The sequence below is a fragment of the Homo sapiens genome, chromosome 12, assembly GCF_000001405.40.
Source record: "Homo sapiens chromosome 12, GRCh38.p14 Primary Assembly".
Taxonomy (NCBI): domain Eukaryota; kingdom Metazoa; phylum Chordata; class Mammalia; order Primates; family Hominidae; genus Homo; species Homo sapiens.
This window is the reverse complement of record NC_000012.12, coordinates 109,766,651-109,789,466: the sequence shown is the minus strand read 5'-3', so window position 1 is coordinate 109,789,466 and position 22,816 is coordinate 109,766,651. Positions and strand designations below refer to the sequence as shown.

Sequence of the window (22,816 nt, the reverse complement as noted above, 5' to 3'; positions counted from 1 at the left end):
TTCCTCTCTGGGTTGGGGTGGAGTGGGAAACTGTCAGAGAGAGAGTCTACCCCTGCGAATAGGGGCATTCCAGAGCCCCCAAGACCTCTAAGAATGGTAGGCCGCATTAGGATTTCCCAACACTATTGACATTTGAGACCAGATCATTCTTCGTGGCGGGGACCATCCTGTGCATTGTAGGGTGTCAGGCAGCACCCCTGGCCTCCACCCACCTGATGCCAGTAGCACCCCCACCCCCAGTTGTAACAACCAAATATGTCTCTAGACATTGTCAAATGTCCCCTGGTGGGAAAAACTGAGACCCTCCCTGGACTAGATCCTGAAAACCTTTTCCCTCCCGGTAGCAGGGAACCACCAGGTTGTGTAAGGAGGGGTGAACTGTCCCAGGTTGGAAACAGAGCAGGTCAAAACTCCTACGCTTATCAGTAGTGGGATTGAGCCTGTGAGTAGCCACTGCACTCCAGCCTGGGCAACATAGCAAGACCCCATCTCAGAAAGAAAGAGAGAGAGAGAGAGATAACCTCTTCCTTATCAGCAAGAGTTTATGGAAAGGCTTCAAAGGTTTTGGGATCAGGAGGACCTGGGTCTGGTGTGGCTTGGCTGATGTGTAGGGTGACATGGGTCAGCGTGTGGGCCAGCGTGCTCCGCTCACTAGGCCTCAGCTTTCTCCTCCAGCAAATGAGAATGACACCCTCCACCTCTCTGTGGGTGTGCTCACACTCAGTGAGTGCCACCCCTATCCTCCCACAGCCCTGGTCTCCCTCCTGAACCCGTGTGCCAACATGAAGGTGTGCAATGAGGACCAGACCAACTGCACAGTGCCCACTTACCCCTCGTGCCGTGACAGCGAGACCTTCAGCACCTTCCTCCTGGACCTGTTTAAGCTGACCATCGGCATGGGCGACCTGGAGATGCTGAGCAGCACCAAGTACCCCGTGGTCTTCATCATCCTGCTGGTGACCTACATCATCCTCACCTTTGTGCTGCTCCTCAACATGCTCATTGCCCTCATGGGCGAGACAGTGGGCCAGGTCTCCAAGGAGAGCAAGCACATCTGGAAGCTGCAGGTGAGGCCCCAGGGCCCCCAGCCCCACTCTACCAGCCACCCTCGTCCTTCCGAGGAGACCCACCCGACTGGCTTCCTCGGCCTTCCACTCTGAGCAAGCAGTGTCTTCTCATTCTCCCTCCACTTCTCTGTCGGTAAAATGGGCATCAGAGGCTGCTGCTGACTTCCCAGAGCTGCCTAGTGAATTTTGAGGTGGCTTCTTGCCTGGCTGCCAGCAGTGGGCTCAGATTCTCCTTGTGGTCCAGCTCACAGGACACAGTCGGCTCCACCTAGCATGACTGAGTGACTTCTGCCGGCTCAGAAAGTGCTCCGTGGGCATCAGCGTTTCAGCAGGGGTCCCACGCTGAGCCCAGGGGCAGCTTTTGTGCTCTAGCACTCCAGCACAGGGATGTCAGCATTCTCATGGGGGTCTTTTTCTAGCAACTGTGAGCATGCTTCCTAGAGGAGAAACCAATGGGGACAGGGGCCGCCTTGGCCCGGGGAGCTGCAGAAAGTTTTTACTTACCAAAAGCTTTCTATGCAATCCTGGAAAGAACAGGCCCTGGGATCACAGCCCTCCCAGGCCAGGTGCAGCCTACAAACCTGGTGTCCTAATAAACAGTGCTGCCCCACGGCCCAGGAATACAGCACCCGTGTTTACCTTGACTGTGCATTTCAGGAAAATGGTGCAGTGAGAAAAAAGGGCCCAAGGTTGTCCTCCCAGGACTGGGTCTGAGGGAAACAGCTCTGGCCTGCTCTTAACCTTTATCTATATTGCTTACTTCATTGGGCCTCAGTTTCCCCACTGGGCATTACTCACAGGATGCAAACTGGGCATCCTGTGGGCTGGAGTGCAATGGTGTGATCTTGGCTCACTGCAACCTCTGCCTCCCAGGCTCAAGTGATTCTCTGTCCTCAGCCTCCCGAGTAGCTGGGGCTAAGGTGTGCACCACCTCACCCGGCTAATTTTTGTATTTTTTGTAAAGATGGGGTTTCACCATGTTGCCCAGGCTGGTCTTGAACTTCTGAGTTCAAGCTATCCACCTGCCTTGGCCTCCTAAAGTGCTGAGATTGCAGGTGTGAGCCACTGCACCCAGCATCAGACCATTATATTAAAAACAACAACAACAACAAAAAACTGCAAAATTTAAAAATTAAGAGATTCCCTATGAAAACCCAGATTTCTGGCTTTTCTTGAAAAGTTGGAAGCTCCAGGCAGTGCAGGGTCCGGATTCCTGCCTGGCAGCCCTCAGGTGGGGTGAGTGGCAGCTGCCCCCTTACACGTGGGCATTTGCTCCCTGTTCTCCCCAGTCTCTACCCCTCCCTCACTGAGAGGCAACTGCTGTGTAAGTGTGATAGGGCTTGGGCGGCAGCCTTTCTGCACCTGATCCTGTTTCACCCATTTGTTTTCCTGCCTGCCACCTGTGGGTATTTGAGTTTATAAACCCTGTGTCTAGTGGGGAGTAGGAGTCTAAATGCCTAGTTCTGGGCCCACCCTGGCCCGTTGTCTCATTTCTGCCACCAGAGCGGCAGGCGCAGGCTGTGAGGCTCACCGATGTCCCTCCTGACCCTCCCTCCCCGCAGTGGGCCACCACCATCCTGGACATTGAGCGCTCCTTCCCCGTATTCCTGAGGAAGGCCTTCCGCTCTGGGGAGATGGTCACCGTGGGCAAGAGCTCGGACGGCACTCCTGACCGCAGGTGGTGCTTCAGGTGAGGCTGGGGCAGTGGGGCCAGGATGGCAGGGCGGAACTGTCCCCACTGGCTCGGGGCCCCTGCTGCTCCAGCGTCGTCTACCCATTGCAATTTCTGGAGCCACTGAGGCCCCAAGAGGCCCGAGCAGAGTTCATTTCCACCAGGCGATCTCAGGCAAGTCAGCCCACCTCTCTCAGCCTCAGTTTCTTCATCTGTGGAATGAGACAATGATCTCACGGGCTCCTAGGCTGGCGGTGCGGATTAGACAGGTCAGCACGTGAGAAGTGCTCAGCCAGTGCCCGACGCGCATCGGGACGCCACAGGCTCCCCTGTTCTTGCTCAGGGGGAAGCAGAGACTTGGATGGTGGGTTCATTTTAGAGCATCACCCTGTATCTACCAAACAGTGGGGTGAGCTCTAGTGCCCTCGGTGAAATGGGAAGCTGAGGAATGTGCAGTTTCCAGGGCTGGAGACCTCACCCAGCCCATCTGCAGAATGACTCCGTGTTCCAGAGGCACAGGGAGTGCCAGCTTCTTAGGGGAACCCCTTCATGAATCTTTTCTTTCCAGTTGATTCATTCATTGTAAAGTGGTTGTCAGCATGGAGCATAAGCAGAATGTTTGGAGTCAGACAAAGTCAGTTTCTTCATCTGTGAAATGGGAACAATAATAGAACCCACCTCCTAGGCCATCCGATCAGTTCAATTCCATTTTTTGTTTGTTTTTAGAGGCAGGGTTGCTCAGGCTGGAGTGCAGTGGTGTGATCATAGCTGACTGCAGCCTCCAACTCCTGGTCTCAAGCGATCCTCCCACCTCAGCCTCCTCATGCCACCATGTCCGACCAATTTTTAATTTTTTTGTAGAGATGGGGTTCTTGCTATGTTGCCCAGGCTGGTCTCAAACTCCTGGTCTCAAGCGATCTTCCCACCTCAGCCTCCCAAAATGCTGGGATTACAGGCGTGAGCCACCACACCCAGCCTCTGTTCAGTTTGAATCCAAAGCTCAAATCTTGGCTGGGTGTGGTGGCTCGTGCTTGTAATCCCAGCACTTTGGGAGGCCAAGGTGGGTGGATCACCTGAGGTCAGGAGTTTGAGACCACCCTGGGCAACATGGTGAAACCCTGTCTCCACTAAAAATACAAAAATTAGTCGGGAGTGGTGGCATGCACCTGTAATCCCAGCTACTCGGGAGGCTGAGGCAGGAGAATCGCTTGAACCTGGTAGGTGGAGGTTGCAGTGAGCCGAGATTGCACTACTGCACTCCAGTCTGGCGGACAGAGCAAGACTCTGCCTTAAAACAAACAAACAAAAATGAATAGATAGGATAAAAAATTAAAGATAATATGTAAAAAAAAAAGATAATATATAAAAAAATGAGTGGATAAACAAAATGTGGGCTATGTGTACAGTGAAATATTATCTGGGCCAGGCGTGGTGACTGTAATACCAACACTTTGGGAAGCGAGGCAAGAGGATTGCTTGAGCCCAGGAGTTCAAGACCAACATAGTGAAACCCCATCTCTACAAAACGTTTTTAAAAAATTAGCCAGGTGTGGTGGCATATCCCTGTAATCCCAGCTACATGGGGGGCTGAAGTGGGCGGATCACTTGAGCCTGGGAGGTCAAGGTTGCAGTGAGCTGTGATCGTGCCACTGCACCCTAGCCTGGGCAATGGAGTGAGACCCTGTCTCAAAAGAAGGTTAAAAAAAATAATTTCTGCTTGGGGGAATGGAAGAATTTTGGAAATAGATAGCTGTGATGGTCACACAATGTGGATGTGCTTAATGCCACTGAATTGTATACTCAAAAATGATTAAGATGGCAAATTTTTTGTGTGTGTATACACACACACACACACACACACACACACGTCTTTTTTTTTTTTTTTTTGAGATGGAGTCTTGCTTTGTCCCCCAGGTTGGAGTGCAGTGGCGTGATCTCGGCTCACTGCAACTGCCTCCCAGGTTCAAGTGATTTTCCTGCCTCAGCCTCTCGGGTCACTGGGACTATAGGCACCCGCCACCATGCCCCGCTAATTTTTTTTTTAATTTTTTTTAATTTTTAGTAGAGGTGGGGTTTCACCATGTTGGCCAGGCTGGTCTCGAACTCCTGACCTCAAATGACCCACCCACCTCGGCCTCCCAAAGTGCTGGGATTGCAGGCATGAGCCACCACGCCCAGCCTTGTTATGTATATGTTACCATAATAAAAAAATAGGAGGGTGTGCTGGGGATGGTGGCATGGAGAGCGTCTCTGAGGGGTTCCCCATGACCCTCTGCTTGGGCCCTGCCAGGGTGGATGAGGTGAACTGGTCTCACTGGAACCAGAACTTGGGCATCATCAACGAGGACCCGGGCAAGAATGAGACCTACCAGTATTATGGCTTCTCGCATACCGTGGGCCGCCTCCGCAGGGGTGAGTGGAGGGGCGGGTGCGGAGGGGAGCCCCAGTCCATTCTCATCACGAATTTGCTTTGAGCAGTCCTGCTTCTTTCCGGGACTCAGTGTCCGTGTCTACAGAATGAGAGAGTGTGCCCCTGAGCTTCCTCTGCTGCTTGTGAATGCCTGGGGCACCTCACCTACGTGGCTTCATCCTGGCCCTCCCTACTGTTGACATAAGCTGGCCTGGGGAGGGAGGACGAGCTCCTCAGCCATCCCTGTGTGGAGAAAACCTTCCTGTTTGTCCAGTAAGCCATGAGCACGCGAGACGCAGCTGGAGAGGACACAGGCACTCAGGGCATTCGGCTCCAGGCTTGAATCCTGGTTCCTCCATTCTCTCCTGGGGAGGCACCTTGACCTCTCTTGAGCCCCAGTTTCCACCTCTGTAAAATGAGCATAGTCACATCCCCCCTTCAGAACACTGTGGAGTGCCCAGTACACAGTAGGCACTCAATATACGCACGCTCTCTCTCCACCAACCCCCACCCCTCCCTCTGATGTGCTCTCGGTGCAGATCGCTGGTCCTCGGTGGTACCCCGCGTGGTGGAACTGAACAAGAACTCGAACCCGGACGAGGTGGTGGTGCCTCTGGACAGCATGGGGAACCCCCGCTGCGATGGCCACCAGCAGGGTTACCCCCGCAAGTGGAGGACTGATGACGCCCCGCTCTAGGGACTGCAGCCCAGCCCCAGCTTCTCTGCCCACTCATTTCTAGTCCAGCCGCATTTCAGCAGTGCCTTCTGGGGTGTCCCCCCACACCCTGCTTTGGCCCCAGAGGCGAGGGACCAGTGGAGGTGCCAGGGAGGCCCCAGGACCCTGTGGTCCCCTGGCTCTGCCTCCCCACCCTGGGGTGGGGGCTCCCGGCCACCTGTCTTGCTCCTATGGAGTCACATAAGCCAACGCCAGAGCCCCTCCACCTCAGGCCCCAGCCCCTGCCTCTCCATTATTTATTTGCTCTGCTCTCAGGAAGCGACGTGACCCCTGCCCCAGCTGGAACCTGGCAGAGGCCTTAGGACCCCGTTCCAAGTGCACTGCCCGGCCAAGCCCCAGCCTCAGCCTGCGCCTGAGCTGCATGCGCCACCATTTTTGGCAGCGTGGCAGCTTTGCAAGGGGCTGGGGCCCTCGGCGTGGGGCCATGCCTTCTGTGTGTTCTGTAGTGTCTGGGATTTGCCGGTGCTCAATAAATGTTTATTCATTGACGGTGGAGATGGCAGGATGATGGCAGGGGTGGGAGGGATGGTAACAGGCATGAGACTGCAGCGAGGGAGATGGGAGAGCTAGGAAATGCCTGGGGGGAGCCAGGGGCAGGGGTGAGAGTGAGGGCAGAAGTCCTGACCGGGAGGCATTTAGAGTGTTGGTGGTTGGGGGCTGGACTGGGTGGTTGTGATGGTGGTGGTGGTGGCCTGAGAGGTGGCTGAGGTTGGTGTGGCTGTGGGGAAGGTGGGGGTGGAGGGAGGAGAGCAGAGTGATGCTGGTGGGGGTAATAATGCTGGCCAGGGAGAGTCATGTTGGCAGGGCGAGAGTGATGCTGGTGGGGGTGACAGTAGTGCTGGCTGGGGGATAATGATCCCCATGGAGACAGTACATTTGGGCAGGGGAGAGTAACGCTGGCCAGGGGTTGACAGTGCAGGTGCGGGGACTCTGGTGCTCATCAGGGGACAATTATACTGGGAGGGCTGTCCTGCTAGGCGGGAGGATGGTTGCCAGGCAGCACGGAGCAGGCGTGGCAGTGGGTGAGCCTGGAGTGTCAGCAGGGTGCTGGGTGTGCATGCGGGTCGCTGTGGTGAGGACCATGGTGGCAGGGGCGATTGGCAGTGCTTGTGGAGCTGGGATGGGTGGGGGTCATGGTGCTCCTGGCTAAGTGGGATGGTGCCTCCTTGAGGACTGCCTGCCTGTGTCTGTCCACAGGGCCACATGCCACCTGGAGCTGTGAGCCATGAGCCGGAGGTGAGGCTGACCCTCTTCTCTTCTGTATTAGTCTGTTCTCACGCTGCTGATAAAGGCATACCCGAGACTGGGTAATTTATAAAGAAAAAGAGGTTTAATGGATTCATAGTTCCATGTGGCTGGGGAGGCCTCACAATCATGGCAGAAAGCGAGAGGCACGTCTTACATGGCAGCAGGCAAGAGAGAAGAGAGCTTGTGCAGGGAAACTCCCCTTTATAAAACCACCAGCTCTTGTGACACTATCACGAGAACAGCACAGGAAAGACCTGCCCCCATGATTCAATTACCTCCTACCAGGTCCCTCCCATGACACGTGGGAATTGTGGGAGCTACACTTCAAGAGGAGATTTGGGTGGGGACACAGCCAAACTATATCACCTTACCAGGGCAGCCATTCGCCTGGGGTCATACCCAACACCAGTCAAGCTCCGAGGCAGCTCCAGACCTCCTGGCAGGAGGAGGGACCCCACAAACACCCACCCTGCTGCCACCACCCTAGAGCCAAGGAAGCCACAGCCAGCTAGTTTCCCATGGCCTCCTAGCTCTGGGTCCAGCTTCCAGCTGGGATCTCGCGTCCTTCTGAAGCTTCAGTCAAGAAGAGCTTGGGTCTTGGAGGAGACCAAGGCCAAGGGCAGCTGCAGTGGAAAATATCATGGGGCTTGGGTTGAGCAGTCCTGAATTTGCATTGGCAATGGGTTATTTGGTTCAGGGAATGTTGGTTGAGTCACTTTACCTCTCTGGGCCTCTACCTCTTCATCTGTCAGAAGGGGAGAGTCAGTGGCAGGAGGGACATGAGTCTACCAATCTCCATGAGCAGGAGGGAGGACTCAGATTACCACCAAGGCTGGCCAGGGGGCTCCAACCCCCCACCTCCTTCTACGTTGCCCTCCAGGAGCAGATTGTACCCCTCGTGGTCCAGGAGTAGCCCAGTTATTCCCAGGGCTCCATGCTTTTTTATCTATTCCTACACCCAGACAGGGGGTCCTCAGCCAGCGCTCTCAACAGGCGTCCCCAGAGTCATTCTGATTAGACAGGTTGTGTCAAAGGCTGCGCCTGAGCCAGTCTTCAGGTCCGGGTGACAGGGTGCTTCCTGGTGAACCTCCCCAGAACCACAGGGAACCCCAGCTAAGAGTGGCAGGTCAGCTCTCTGGAGGCTGCAAACATTTTTCCCTCAGGTCAGGCTCTGGGAAGGAGCAGCCACGTGATTGAGCCCCTGGGTCTCAACTTCGAGAAGGGCAGAAGGTTGGGGCAGAGAGAGAAACACTCTTTTCCTTTTTCTCTACTCTGATTGAAGTGAAAACACTCTTAAGTTGTTGCTGTTGGGTTCTTCCTCTGGGTTGGTCAGAAGACAAGATGGCCACCTGGATCTTCCCTTGAAGCTGGTTGTTTGGGACAAGGAGGGGGCCTATTTTGCCTTGGGTGCCCTTGAAACGAGCAGGGATAGTGAGGGGGGATGTTGGCATGTGGGGGAATGTCCTAGAAAGCTCTGGATTTGGGCCAGGTGCGGTGGCTCATGCCTGTAATCCCAGCATTTTGGGAGGCCAAGGCAGGCAGATCACCTGAAGTCAGGAGTTCGAGACCAGCCTGGCTAATACGGTGAAACCCCATCTCTACTAAAAATATAAAAATTAGCCAGGCATGGTGGTTGCGCAACTGTAATCCCAGCTACTTGGGAGGCTGAGGCAGGAGAATTGCTTGAACCTGGGAGGTGGAGGTTGCATTGAGCCAAGATCTCACCATTGCACTCCAGCCTGGGTGACAAGAGCAAAACTCTGTCTCAAAAAAAAAAAAAAAAAAAAAAAAAAGCTCTGGATTTGGATTCAAGAGAACTGATTTGAGTCTTGCCTCAGGAATTCTTCTGGGTATTTGTGGGTAGATTAGAAATGCTCTGAGCCTCAGTTTCCTTATCTGTAAAATGGGCACATGCTTTTCGATGATCAAGTGATTCCTGGGACCCATTAAATTCCCCCAGGCAGGCTGGGCACGGTGGCTTATGCCTGTAATCCCAGCACTTTGGGAGTCCGAAGTGGGCAGATCAGTTGAGGTCAGGAGTTCCAGACCAGCCCGGCCAACATGGTGAAACCCTGTCTCTACTAAAAATATGAAAATTAGCTGGGCATGGTGGGGCACCCCTGTAATTCTAGCTAGGTGAGAGAATTGCTTGAGCCCCATCAGGGGTGGTTGAGGGGGCAGCGGCAGAGGTTGCAGAGAGCTGAGATCGCGCCACTGCATTCCAGCCTGGGCAATAAGCGAGACTCTGTCTCCAAAAAAAAAAAAATATTCCCCCAGGCAGCAGTTGAATCATAAATAATCAATACCCAAATCAGTGAGGAAGAAGAGAGAATTGTGGCTGTAGTATTCATATAGTTACGTGATTTGGGCAGCAAGTAACAGAAAACCTACACTGGCTGGGAAAAAAAAGGATATTAATTGTGTCAGCAGGATATCCCAAGTTAGGGAGGATATTAAGGCTGATAAATTCAGGGTCTCTGTGATTCATTAAGGACCCAGTTCTGTCCCTCATGTACTCCTTCAGCATTTAAGTATGGATTCCAACCACGCGTCAGGCACTGTGCGAGGCAACGCCCGCCTGGTGTGCTGGCTTTTTTGTTACACCAGCTTTCCTCAAGGACACAAGATGGTGCCCTTGATCCAGACATCACATCCAGATTCAGTCTCATTCAGTAGAAGGGAAGACAGCTCTTCCTGTCTCTTTTTCCCTGAAGTGTCCTAGCTGGCCTCTCCTCTTGTATTATTGACCAGAATTGTGTCATGTGTCCCACGCTTCAGCCAATCAGCAGGCAGGAAACAGCAATTGGCCTAAAGAAGCAGATGGCGATATGGAGGAAGGAAGTGACTCCAGCCAGGTCTGGGTTCTATGAGAAAGAGGATGTGCGAATTGATATTGCCTAGGCAACCAGTAGCATCTACTACAGTCCTTTTTGCAAATGTCCACCCTCCACCCCAACATTGTCATCAAGAATGGCTGTGGCTCATTCTGGGTCTGTGAAGAGGTCACTTCTCTAGGGGCGGATGGGATGGGCCTGCCAACAAAATCAAAACACCCTCCCAACTCAAAAAGACTCAGTAACTTCTAAGGTGAGTGTTTAATTCATTTATTTTCATTATTTTATTTTATGAGACAGGGTCTCACTCTGTCGCCCAGACTGGAGTGCAGTGGCATGATCTTGGCTCACTGCAACCTCCGCCTCCCAGGCTTAAGCAATTCTCTTGCCTCAGCCTCCTGAGTAGCTGAGATTACAGGCACATGCCACTATCTCCTGGCTAATTATTTTTATTTTTTTATAATGAAATAATTTTGGCTATGAATTTTCCTATGAGTACACTTTTAGCCATGTAGTAAGTTTTTCCAACTGTGATCTTTCTAAATATTCAATGATTTGGATATTGACTATGACTAAATAGCTGTGTGGGGGAACTTAAAAATCTGCAAGTCATTGGGATTTTGTTTGTTGCAGTAAAATCTTAAAGATGACCTTTCCCAATGTTCTCAAAGTGTGGGACATGCGCTGGTGGTATGCCAGAATATTCTCAGGTGATACAATGGACATAGGATCACACTTAAAAAACCCATATTCTCTTTTCAGTTCTGTGTATTCCCTGACTGTATCAAGGTCTCAGTTTGGTGCTTCTGTGTTTGAATGCCTTCCCAACATTCACTAATCTTTGTTTTCAAATAGAGAAAAGCCTTAGGCTCAGAACCTCTGGAAGGACATGGTATCTAGGAATAACTTAAAAACATTTTAATTTCGTGGCTGGGCATGGTGGCTCATGCCTGTAATCCTAGCGCTTTGGGAGGCCAAGGCAGGTGGATCACCTTAGGTCAGGAGTTCAAGACCATCCTGGCCAACATGGTGAAACCCCATCTCTACTAAAACTACAAAAAAAAAAAAAATCAGCTGGGTGTGGTGGTGTGCACCTGTAATCCCAGGTACTCGAGAGGCTGAGGCAGGAGAATCACTTGAACCTGAGAGGTGGAGGTTGCAGTGAGCCAAGATCGCGCCACTTCACTCCAGCCTGGGTGACAGAGTGAGACTGTGTCTCAAAAATAAATAAATAAATAAAATAAAAAACATTTTAATTTCATTTTATTTTTAGAGTAATAAAGCCTTCTCTTTATGGCAAATGATACAGTTTTCTAGATAAAGTAGTGGTCTCAAGTGTAGTTTACAAGCAAGTCATTTAATAATAAAAATATAGCTTATAAAAAAAGAATACTTAGATGATTTAAGGAACTATATTAAATGAATAAACGTTCATGGGGAAAATTATGACTATGTTATAGAAATGATTGATATTTGGGAATCATTAATTTATCCCAACTCTATATCCACGCTTGATCCCTTTTTACCACCAAGCCTACACCTCTCTGTTTGCATACCTCCTGTGACAGGAGGTTCATCGTCTCTGAAGACTGTAAAAAAGCAGCATCCTTAGTTTAAATGCCCTTCTCCGTTCTCCTGACCTGTGTGCCCTTTGCAGTCTAACTTTGTGATGTCCTCCCACCGAGGGCAAAGCATAATTTCCCATACCCGGGGTTGAGCATGTGACTTGTCTTGACCAATGGGATGTTAGCAGACATGCCAGGGCCAGCCCTCAGGAAGAGGATAAGAGACACCCAAGTCACCCCAGGCAACCTAGCTGAGATCAGAGGAACCCGGCAGCTGCATGAGAAATTAATGTTTTTGGATACCACAGGTTTTTTATGATTGTGTGTGTGTGTGTGTGTGTGTTTTAAGTGCAGGCAGCAATAGCTAATGGTTACAGACACTAGAAGAGAGAGTAAATAGAACACAGGCAGGCCAAAAAAACTAAATGTCTACTATATTCCGTATTATAGATGAGGAAACAGGTTCAAAGAGATGAAGACTCTTGCCCAGGGCACCTGGATGCTAAGCAGTGGAGTTGGGACCTGAACCCAGGCATTCTGTCTTCAGAACCCATGCTGGAGAGAAAGCGCTCTGGTCCCTGGGCAGTGAGAGGTAACGAGGCCAGACCACTTCTGCAGTGAAGGCCCAGGCTCTTGCCTGTCACTTTCACGGAGCTCCCAAGCCTGTCAGCATTCACTGAGAGCGCCATACCCCTAACTTTATTCCAACAAGGACTGCTTATTGTGTGCATGTATGTGTATTTAATAATGATAAGGCACTTGTATGTCATATTTGACAGGAGGGCTTTTTTCTTCCCAAGTTTAAAGCACTACTGGGAAAGAATTAGTGCTACTGGAGGCAAAAACAAAGGGACCCCATCAGAAAAGACAGTCTCTGAAACTCTGGGATCTTAATTGAACAATTACCTCTTATGCCTATGAATGGTTCATTATTACATGCCCTGTTATTATTAGCTGTTATTATTGTTTTAGATGAATGCTGGGAATTTTGTTTTAATCAAAAGCCATATTCAGCCACACCGTTCATCTCCCTGCAAAATGCATGCTTCTGACATTTCCGAATGTGATAATGTCGTAGTCGGCAGTCAGTCCCCGCACCTCGCCCAGATAACGGTGTACTCGGATCATTTCAGTTGTCTGGATGGAGTGGTTAAATACTCCAGGCCTCTGTTCATGCTGTTATTAATTTTTGGCTCCCTGGTGAAAGCATTTATATAAGAATCTAGCATCTCCTATCTTTTATTCTTTAGGAATCCAGTGTCACTGAGGACAACGAAGTGATCTTTGTTCATCCCAAGCTTTTGAGATAGAAATAAGAGGGAGGGCAGTGATGGAGCCAGAGGTCAGGATGGGAGAGGCACTGACTGGTGGAGACCCAAGCCCCAGGATTGAGGGGTGGAAGGCTGGCTCAGGAGAGGCCAGGCTGGGAGTCTTGTGTTCTTAGAGGGAATCAGAGAAAGGGGGAAGCAATATGGATAAGGCAACTGCCATGTGTTAGACGCCGTGCTCAGTGTTTGGGATTCATAATCTCAGGAACCGTGTGCGGGAGCTCATGAACCAGTGTTTGTACCATCCTAGAAATCATGCCCCCTCTTTGTTACAACACCTGAGCCAATCACCATGACTCTCCTTCCCTTACTAGGTATCGGTGTGGGAATAGCCATGTGACCCAGTTTTGCCCCATGAGACAAGCGGGGAGGTCTGCTGGGGGAGGGGGAATTCTGGGAAAAGTTTCTGGGAAAGTAAGAGAAATCTAGGAAAAGACTGTCCTCTCTGTTGCTGGTCACTATTGCATCTGGATGTGATACCCGGAACTGCAGCAGCCACTTTGTGCCCCTGAGGGGCCTTGACAGAACACAAAGATGAAAAGGACATTGGTCCCTGATGACACCATTGAGCTGCTGCTTTAACCAACTGTGAGGCCACCCTGCCTTAAGGCTTCTTATGATTATTCCAGAGAATAAATGTTCTTTCTCATTTAAACCAGTTGAGTCAGGGGGATTTTCTGATATTTGGCCCAAATCATGCTGATACAAGTACAAATTTGTATCCCCATTTTACAGATGAAGAAAGTGAGACCCAATCAAGTAAATGCCCATGACTAAGGACACATAGCCTGGATGTGGTGGAGTTGAACCTTTCTAGGGCGTGGCAGGATTTTTTTTTTTAAATATACTTAGTGTTTTTGGCCTTTCCAAAGCAGGCACACATTCTATTTCTCCATAGCAGCAGGCTGTAATGGCTGCTAACAGGTAAGGGCAGGAGAGGTTGGGGTTTGGAGCGGGGACTCAAACCCAGGTCCGCAGATCTCAGCTTAGGGTCTTCTTAGCACCTCAAGGTTCTTAGTGACATTAGGGAGTCCCCGTTCTGTTGGCACCGCTTAGTTTTGGGGGTACACCCCTTGGATCCCACAGATCTGCCCTTGGCTAGCACAGGGTAAGGCTGCTGAGGTCCCGGAGATTGGTCACCAGGGGCCGCTGTTGTCACACTCAGGGGCCTCCTCAGAGGGGTTCAGAAGGAAGCTTGGAACCTGGGGATGTGATCAGGAAGACTCCCTGTGAGCACCCTGTTGGGTGTGCCCTGAGGCTTTGAGACAGGAAATATCCCACCCCCACCCTCGTACCCTCACCCCAAGAAGGAGAGAAGGTGGCCTCGACTGCCTCTGGAGCGTTCAGGACCAAGTTGCTGTGTGCCTTCAGGCAAGTTGCCTCCCCTCTCTGAACCTCAGTTTCCTCTCTTTCAAAATAAGAGTACTCACCCCTACTTCTCAAATGTGGCTTCTTCCTCTTCCCTGAGGGCCTTCCCCTTCTTTTGTGCCTAATTCAATATGAGGGACAGGACCAGTTAGGGCGTACTAGAAATGAGACCCAGCCACCCAGGTCAGGGTTGGGTTCCAGTCCTTGCTCTGCCACAAACTCATTATGAGTCCTTGCAGTGTAATTGGGGAAACTGAGGTCCAGAGAGGAGAAAGGACTTACCCAGTTTCCCCAATTGCAATACAAGAGGCAGGACTCAGCATTTCCTGAAGTCTTGTTTGTTCCATGGGGTGTAAATAGGTGGAAACAAAAACTTAGGTGGTCAAAAAAGTTAGGGAAATGCTGGGTTAAAGCTAAAAGGGGGCTGGGCGTGGTGGCTCATGCCTGTAATCCCAGCACTTTGGGAGGCCTTCAAGGCAGGCAGATCACTTGAGGTCAGGAGTTTGAGACCAGCCTGGTCAACATGGCAAAACCCCATCTCTACTAAAAATACAAAAATTAGCCAGGTGTAGTGGAGCATGCCTGTAATCCCAGCTAATCAGGAGGCTGAGGCAGGAGAACCACTTGAACCTGGAAGGCAGAGGTTACAGTGAGCCGAGACTGTGCCACTGCAAAGAAGTTAAAAGGGAATCTTGCCTGCAGGATCTGTTAGCATCTTTAATATGTTAATGCGATTTGTGTATCTCCAAGAGCCGGGATAGGCATCTGTTTCTCAAACTCTTTTGACTGGGAAACCCACTTTCCAAGGTGACTTGGAAGTCAGCTGCACTAGGCAAGGATGGGAATACTCCACCTTTGTTATATGTCTTTTACCTAATGGCTCTGTGCTACCCAGGGGATTTGACCACCTGTCTCCTAAGTTAAACCTCACATGGTACATACATTAAAATATTAGCCTCATTTTATTTTATGAGACGAGGTCTTGTTCTGTTGCCCAGGCTGTAGTGCAGTGGTGCGATCATGGCTCACTGCAGCCTTGACCTCCTGGGCTCAAGTGATCCTCCCACCTCAGCCTTCTGAGTATCTGGGACTACAGGCACACACTACACCCAGCTAATCTTAAAATTGTTTGTACAGATAGGGGTCTCGTGATACTGCCCAAGCTGGTCTTGAACTCCTGGGCTCAAGTGATCCTCCAGCCTTTGCTTCCCAAAGTGCTGGGATTACAGGTATGAGCCACAGCTCCCCGTTGGAGCCTCATTTTACAGTTGGGAAATAGATGACTCAGGAGTGATCACTTGCCTGAGGTCACACACACCTGCACACAGCCTCAGGATGGAACGAGTTCTGACCCTCAGACAACTACATCCCACAGCACTCAGAGGGGTCCTCTTACAGGACGAATCTGCCCTATCATCCTGACCACACATCACCTGATGCCACCTCACTCCTCCAGGTGCCACCACTTCCTTCAACAGATCTGGAAATTGAGGCTCAGAGAGGCACACAAGTCACCCAGGGTCACACGTGGAGTCAGTGGGATACTAAGTTCCGTTTTCTTGCCTCCTCCCCTCCCCCTGCCACTCGCTGGCGAGCTGGTGATGGTGGCAATTTAAACAGAAAACCTTTCGTCCCTTGCTCTCACCTATCGCGCTGGCTGGACTCCACCTTCTCCGGCCAACGTTGGGGGTGGGACGGGGTGTGGGCCCTTTAAGAGCGCCCGGGAGGGATGGGCAGGCGCAGTGGTGCTGGGCACACGTGGAGCTGCGCGTGGAGGAGTCCAGGCTGCAGCCGAGGGAGCTGAGTAGGGCAAAGTTAGGAGTCGCTGTTTGGATGGCAAGTTCAGAAGTTGGAACTTGTCTCAGTTTCCCCGCTCCAGAAATGGGGTTGTGATATAAAGACAGGGATATGAGTGAAGAAAACACAGAGCCACCCTGGAAAGGTGAGTGTCTACTAACATAGCTTCCTCTATCCAAATCTGCGCCTGAGCCCCCGTGGCCTTCTGGGGCAGCTCTGATCTCTCTGTAAGGTCACCTGTCTCTGACCTGGGGTGATCTTCTAATGGTCACTATGACAGGAAGTGATAGCCGAGGTTTTCTGCACACCAGGCTACCGTATTGGACAGCTCCGTGGTAAAGGGTGTGAGCCCAGGACAGCTAAGTAGAGAGAGAAGGATCCTAGTGTCAGAACAGAGACCTAGAGAAGGACTGCAGCTCCTGCCCGGGGCCTGGATGAGATGGTGGCTTCTCCTCTCTTTCTCCCTCACCCACCGGGATGTCTGGGCAGTTGGGGCTCTGGGATCCAAGGCTGTGCCTGGGTTCTGGAGCCAAATTGGCCACATTTGGCGGTTGACAGTTGTTTTCTATTCTCTGCAAAGGGTTGCAGCTGGGAACTAGGACTCAGAATCAGACAGGCCTGTGTTCTATCCCAGCCACTTCTCCATTCTTCATCCTCAGCTGTGTGACTTTGGGCAAAGTGATTGCCCTTCTGTGGGTCTCACTAACCTTGTCTGTAATGTGGGTGCATGCACCTCTGTTGCGCCGAGTGGTTGTGAGGCACAAGTAACGTTTAGCCCCGAGCCTGGTATCTGGTCTGCCTGTAGTTAAGTGTGGGATCTCAGTAATTGTAGCAGTGATAGCAATGCTTTCGTCACCTGTCCTCCCCCCATCAATGTGGTAATCAAAGGTGATTGATTGTATAAAGAAACCATGCTAGAATGGCCACCGGAGGGCACTTTGAGATCAGCCAGCCCAGTTCCTAGATGGGGAAACTGAGGCCCAAGGAGGCACAGGTAGTCAGGGCTAGAGCCCCAGCTGGGTTCCTGGGCCCAGACCCAGACTGTGCCATGCGCCCCTACATTGCCACGCACACAGACCCCACCCTGTGGAGGATGAGGAGGTTTTTCCAGGATAGCAGGTGCATCCTTTGCTCTGATATCCAAATATGAGGGACCGGGCATGGAGAGTGGCTCCAGCCTCTCCCGTTTCCCCTCTCCTGATGCCCCAGTGTGGGTACGCCTGGCAGTTGACCAAGGACATGGGGACCTGGGTGACCAAGTTGGTGCTTGGGTGGCCCCAGTGGTGACACCTGGGAACAGCTGAGACATAGGCCACCTCCCAGTGTAACACCTGGCCCTAGACCTTGGTTTCCTGCCCCACTCCCTCCCCGAGTGCTCACACTGTGCTTTTGTCTGCTTGAATTCCATCTCTGGTTCTGGTGCCGCCCCCCCTTGGGAAATGGATTGGTTAGGGTCACTCACGGTGGCATTATCAGGATTGGAACCCAAGTCTAGCTCACTGCAGAGGCTGGGCCTGCTGGGCTTGCCCCGTCCAGGCTCCCCCGGGTTCCGGCTGCACCCAGGCGGGCTTTGATTATGAATGAGGGTGGGGGTGGGGCTTGCAGCCAGAACACCTCGCTCCCTCTCAACATCCTCGTGGCCGTTGGTCAGGTTGTGTCCTCATCTGTAAAATGGGCCTGATTTTATCATCTACCTGATAGACTCAAGTGAGGTCAGAAAAGCACTCTGTCAATTGCAGTTTATACTAGTTATGTCCTATTTGTGATGATTCCCGGTTGCCTTCCATGGAGCTCTGCTTTTCCCAGCTCCTCACCCTGCAGGGCCCGGCTCCTGCTCCCCAGGGGCTGGGGTGATGTGCTTGGCTCATTGACCCAGTGCAGAAGGGCCTGGGTCCCGCCCTGGACACAGTCCCTTCCTCTCGGAGCCTCTGTTTCCTCTTCTGTGGACTGGGTAGCATGTGCTGCCCGACGTGGATGCCTGGTCTCAGGGAGGTGGACCACCCACCACAGAGTCGAATCCAAGGCGTCCCCTCTGTCCCCATCTCTGCCCTGGACTTCACCATTGCCAGCCACCCTGGCAGGGCTCTGTGAATGGGAGGGGAGGCCTGCCTTAGCCGGAAGTTCTCCAGTGCCTCCGGCCCTGATATTGGGCTAGGAGGCTGGGAGAGAAGAGCTGGGAGGAGGCGAAGGCAGGAACGGGACACAGGGAAGAGTCCATGCTGTGAGGTTTGAACCCTAGCCTCCCACAGATTTGCTGTGTGACCTCGCACAGATCACTACGCGTCTTAGTTTTTTCCTCTCGAACGCCTCCCACCCTGCAAGGGTGTTGTGAGGCTTTGGCAAGATACAGTATGTAGGAAAATGCCTGGTGCACAGCCAAGGCCTAATAAATGCTGAGCTCCCTGGGGCAGCAGTGGTCTCCTGCAAATCCCCAGGCACCAGAGCAGGGGGTGGGTGGGCACTGGGGTGTCTGGCCTGGCTGAGATGGGGTTGGCCATGGAGATGGCTGCTGCCTAGCCACTGTGGCCTGTCCCCAGCCCCACTGCCACCATGGCCCCTTGGAGCATGCCAGGCACAAGGAAGAGCTGGGAAGAAATTGTGATGGAGGGGAGATGCCCCCGCCGAGACCACCATGAAGGGAATGAGGAAGAGGGCCCCCGTTTGGTTCTGTCTCTGCTGCTCTAGGGATCGACTGATGGCCGTGACCTAGCAGCCATCAGCCTGTGTGCTAAATGACAATGTCCATCTTGAAAGAGCTGGAATAGGGGAAGCACTGAGGGCAGGATGCTCCACGCACAGGAGGTACCCGGAGGTTCCTGGCCTGCTTCCCTCCCGGGCTGCAAGCCTGGTCAGCTGGGAGGAGACAGCCCCTTTCACTCCTAAGGGGAGGAAGAAAGAAAACGAAAACAAGAGCTACAAAAGCAACCCGACAGCTGAGACACCATCTGTGTTTTCCTTTTTCTTCTTTCTCTTCGTTTTTAAAACAATATAGTGCAGACTGCACTTCTCACAGTAGAATATAATGGTCAATTTTAGTATAAAAAAAACATTCTCAGAGATTTGTAAATGCACTTAGTGCTTGACCAGGCCTTGGAGAGAGATACAGTACCGCTTCCAGAGCGCCAGAGGGGCCAGGACTTGAGGACTTCGTGAGGGGACTCCTGCCTATCTTTCCCTGCCTTGATCGTGTGGGACAGGCCTTGGAGGGTGGTTTGCAGGAAAGGAGTTGGTCTGGGCCTCCCAGTTAAAACCAGGAGGGTCCCAAGAGATCCCTCGAAGAAGGCAAGGATGGGATCTAAGATTGCAGGCCCACTGTTAGCCCCTGTGGTGCCTTTGTGCGAACAGGAAAATGACGCCCCTTCCTCAAGATGCAGAAAATTGTAATAAATATACAAGTTTGGGTGAAAGTGGTGTCTCCTTGGACAAGGTGCCCTTGTGCAGTGCACAGCCTGAACAACTGTACCCAGCAGCCCTATAAGATGTATTGGAGGGAAGGGGGAATATGGTAGTCCAGGGTTTGGAGAATGGGGATGGGGGTGCAACTCTGTGTTAGGAAGGAATGGTGGGGGTAGGGGAAGGAGGAACAGGGGGACTGGTATAGTCCCTGGAGCCTCTGTCAGAGTGGTCTTCACCTGGCTGGTGGGGAGACACTTTGGGCCCAGTGACTTCCTATCGGCCTCCTGTACCCCTTTTCCAGAATACTGGGGAGCCAGTGTGGGGAGACACAGCTGCCTGACCCCTGGGGGGGCTGCCCTGCCCCCACCCTGACTCTGGTGCGCCTGTTTCCTCCTGCACCCCACCTTGGCCTGGGCCCCTGTCCCAGGAGGCCCAGAAAGAACCATTCCTGTTTTTGAGTGGTTTCTCTCTCCCTGCCTCTGCCAGCTTAGATAAAGGAAGGCATGGGCGTCAGTGGCTGCCCCCAGGCCCTCACTGTGTCCTGGGGCAACCGATGGTGGGGAGGGGCCTTGGTATGTGAGGTTGCCCTGCCACCCTCCATCCGGCCACAGCGAGGCGGCAGCCAGCCTGGCTCCCCTGTGGGCATCAGCAGGCACAGGGTGGGGCTGAGCGCCCCTGCGAGCCGCCCACCCTGTTCTGCGGCCTGCCTCCCGGCTCTGCGCCCTGTCCGCATGTCCGTATGTCCGCAGGGCAGGCCTTATCTGTAGACGGGTAGGCGGATGTGGGCATGCTGGTGGTCGAGTAGCCGGGGCACGGCCACCGTCTCATAGCCCTTGCCCAGCATCTGCTCCTTGATGCAGGGCGGCCGGATGTCGTTGATGAGATACTCCAGTGACTGCAGGCTGCTGCTCAGCACCGATGTGTTGCACACACTCTTGCTGGGCAGGCCCGAGAGGGCATCTGCAGGGGGCCCAGCCAGCTCCCGGGCTGCCCCCGGCCCCAGCTCCGTGACCACCACCGCCGCCGCTGGGTTGTAGCAGTCGCTGGTGGGTGTCACCAGCACACTGTTCCACGGGGCCGCAAAGTACTGGCCTACGGTGAAGCTGGTGGGCAGCCCCACGCCACAGTTGAGGGGTGACCCGCTGGCCCGCTCGTATGCCCGGCCCCCGCAAGCCTCAGGGGACTTGCTGGCCACCGTGCTCCCACTGTAGGCACGCAGTGGCTGGGGCGGCGGTGGGGGCGGTTTCTGCGGCCACAGCAGGTAATCCAGGCCGCTGTCTGCGTACCCTGCAGGCTTGGCGGCCCCAGCCAACGTCAAGGCTTGGGTGGCTCCCTGGCCCAGCTCAGTGCCTTTCCGGCAGTCGGGCAGACCGGCTGCAGCCGAGTAGGCCATGCTGGGGAAGCTGGGCACTGGGCCGTGCTTGGCAGGGCTGGGATGGGGAATAGCCATGCCCTGGCAGGCAGGGGGTGCGGCGCCCGGGGCCTGGCACTGCTGGTTGAGCTGGTACAGGAGGCTGTGGATGGAGGGCAGGTTGGAAGGTGGCAGGGGCAGGCCCCGGCCCGGCAGGGGGATGACGGAGGCGGCAGTGGCGGCTGCGGGCAGGCCGGGTGGTGGAGCAGGCGCCTCAGGTGGCTTGGGGTAGGCCAAGGGACCCAGAGTGCTGGGCACTGGGTAGGGCGCAATGCCCACCTGCACGGCGGCCGGTGACAGCTTGGTCCGCTTGCCCTCGGCGCTCTTGAGCACACTTTTGGCGGGCCCAGCTGGTGCGGCCGTGCTGGAGGAGGAAACCGCGGCCTTGACAATGGCCAGAAGGCCCTGGTAGCCAGCGGTGTGCTGTGGGTAGGGGCTGTAGCGCTGGCCACTGGTGTCATAGCCATTGACTGTGCGGCTGAGGTGCTTGTGCTGGGGCACACGGATGTTGGTGGGGAAGATCTTGATGGACAGCGGGCTGTTGGCCACCTTCTCGGCATAGGCGTCCAGTTCTGCTGGGCTCGGGTAGCGGGAGGAATGCATGGCGCTGGCCACCGCCTCGCCTGTGGGAGGAAAGCAGGTGTGAGGGCCCATCAGGAGGCCATGCCAACCTCTCCCCACAGGGCTCACGAGTCCCGCCCCCTCCACTCATTTCCCATTCATTTTACTCCTTATTCCTTCTACATTTTTAAACTTCGAATTTCAGTGTAAAGTGCAGGGAACTGCCTGCATCATAAGCTTGATGGACTTTCACAAAAGGAACACACCTGTTTTATGGTACCCAGGCCAGGAGACAGGACATTGCTAATCCCCTGTAGGGTCCCTGGGCCCCTCCCAGTCTCTAACCACACCACGCTAACCACTATCCTGACTTCTAACATGGACTGGTTGTGCCTGGTTTGTGTATGTGGTAAGATGGAATTCTACAGTATGTACTCATTTGCACCTGGCTTCTGTCACTTCATACTATGTGAGAGTCATCCAGGTGGCTGTGTGGGGAGTAGTCTGGTCTGTCTCATCGCTGTATGGTATTTGTTGTGTGACTATGCCGCAATCTATTCATCGTTTCTGTTCTTTTAGAGACAGGGTCTTGCTCTGTCACCCAGGCTGGAGTGCAGTGGTGCAGTCATGGCTCACTACAGCCTCGACCTCCTAGGCTCAAGTGATCCTAGGCATGCGCTAGCATGCCTGGCTAATTTTTGTATTTTTTGCAGAGACGGGGTTGCGCCACGTTGGCCAGGCCAGTCTTAAACTCCTGAGCTCAAGTGATCCTCCTGCCTCAGCCTCCCAAAGTGCTGGGATTACAGGCATGAGCCACTGCACCTGGCCCAACCTTTCTATTCTTGATGGCATTTGGGTTGTTTCTAGCTGGGTGAGGTGGCTCACACCTGTAATCCCAGCACTTTGGGAAGCTGAAGTGGAAGGATCGCTTGAGCCCAGGAGTTCAAGATCAGACTGGGTGACACAGCAAGACCTTGTCTTTATAAGAAAAAAAAAAAAAAAAAAAAAAAAGAAGCCAAGCATTATGGTGCATGCCTATAGTCCTAGCTACTTTGGAGGCTGAGGTGGGAGGATCACCTGAGCCCAGGAGTTGGAGGCTACAGTGAGCTGTGACTGTGCCATTGCATTCCAGCCTGGCCGATAGAGCAAGACCTTGTCTCAAAAAAATAAAAGTAAATAAATACAGTGCCATGGCCCCTAGTGCATGCAGAGTTCTGTTGGAAATATACCCAGGAATGGAATTTCTAGGTCACAGGGGAGATGCCCCTGCCCGGCTTCGGGAGAAAATGCCTGACCATTTATCCGTGAGACCATGCCAGGCTACACTCCCACCCGCAGAGCACAGGAGTTCCAGTGGCCCCACAACCTGCCAGTGCTTGGTGTCATCTTTCATTCTGTCACCACTCTGGGGGACATTCCTTCC

At 53.1% G+C, this 22,816-nt stretch overlaps 2 protein-coding genes and 1 long non-coding RNA gene across 22 annotated transcripts in view, besides 2 other annotated features; 2 read left to right on the top strand and 1 right to left on the bottom strand.

Annotated features, from left to right (window-relative positions):
- The window catches only part of TRPV4 (transient receptor potential cation channel subfamily V member 4), a 50,312-nt gene extending 43,932 nt beyond the window's left edge, over nt 1-6,380 (top strand). For 12 of the 15 annotated variants that reach the window (XM_047429295.1, XM_047429293.1, XM_047429294.1 and 9 more), the window contains 4 exons: nt 751-1,067; nt 2,630-2,757; nt 5,030-5,151; nt 5,689-6,380. In XM_047429295.1, coding sequence (XP_047285251.1) covers nt 751-1,067; nt 2,630-2,757; nt 5,030-5,151; nt 5,689-5,846 — 725 coding nt within the window. In that variant the 3' untranslated portion in view covers nt 5,847-6,380. Of the gene's footprint in view, nt 1-724; nt 1,068-2,570; nt 2,758-5,029; nt 5,152-5,688 lie in introns of those variants that run through there. The other 3 variants (NM_021625.5, XM_011538634.3, XM_011538635.3) reach the window with 3 other exon arrangements.
- Nucleotides 13,869-14,163: a silencer, noted in NCBI's record as "tiled region #11384; HepG2 Repressive DNase matched - State 12:CtcfO". NCBI's record gives its function as "represses a minimal TATA promoter and a strong SV40 promoter by Sharpr-MPRA in HepG2 cells {active_cell/tissue: HepG2}" and the evidence as "EXISTENCE:reporter gene assay evidence [ECO:0000049][PMID:27701403]".
- FAM222A-AS1 (FAM222A antisense RNA 1) overlaps nt 15,980-22,816 on the top strand; it is a 39,279-nt gene continuing 32,442 nt past the window's right edge. For both annotated transcript variants that reach the window (NR_026662.2, NR_026661.2), the window contains exon 1: nt 15,980-16,170. This is a non-coding gene — a long non-coding RNA (FAM222A antisense RNA 1). The remainder of the gene's footprint in view (nt 16,171-22,816) is intronic.
- Nucleotides 16,892-17,391: an enhancer, noted in NCBI's record as "H3K4me1 hESC enhancer chr12:110209881-110210380 (GRCh37/hg19 assembly coordinates)". NCBI's record gives its function as "activates a minimal SCP1, AML or CMV promoter by ChIP-STARR-seq in naive H9 embryonic stem cells {active_cell/tissue: H9 hESC(naive)}" and the evidence as "EXISTENCE:reporter gene assay evidence [ECO:0000049][PMID:30033119]".
- Nucleotides 18,972-22,816, bottom strand: part of FAM222A (family with sequence similarity 222 member A) — a 56,671-nt gene continuing 52,826 nt past the window's right edge. For all 5 annotated transcript variants that reach the window (NM_032829.3, XM_024449229.2, XM_047429748.1 and 2 more), the window contains one exon: nt 18,972-21,455. In NM_032829.3, coding sequence (NP_116218.2) covers nt 20,179-21,455 — 1,277 coding nt within the window. In that variant the 3' untranslated portion in view covers nt 18,972-20,178. The remainder of the gene's footprint in view (nt 21,456-22,816) is intronic.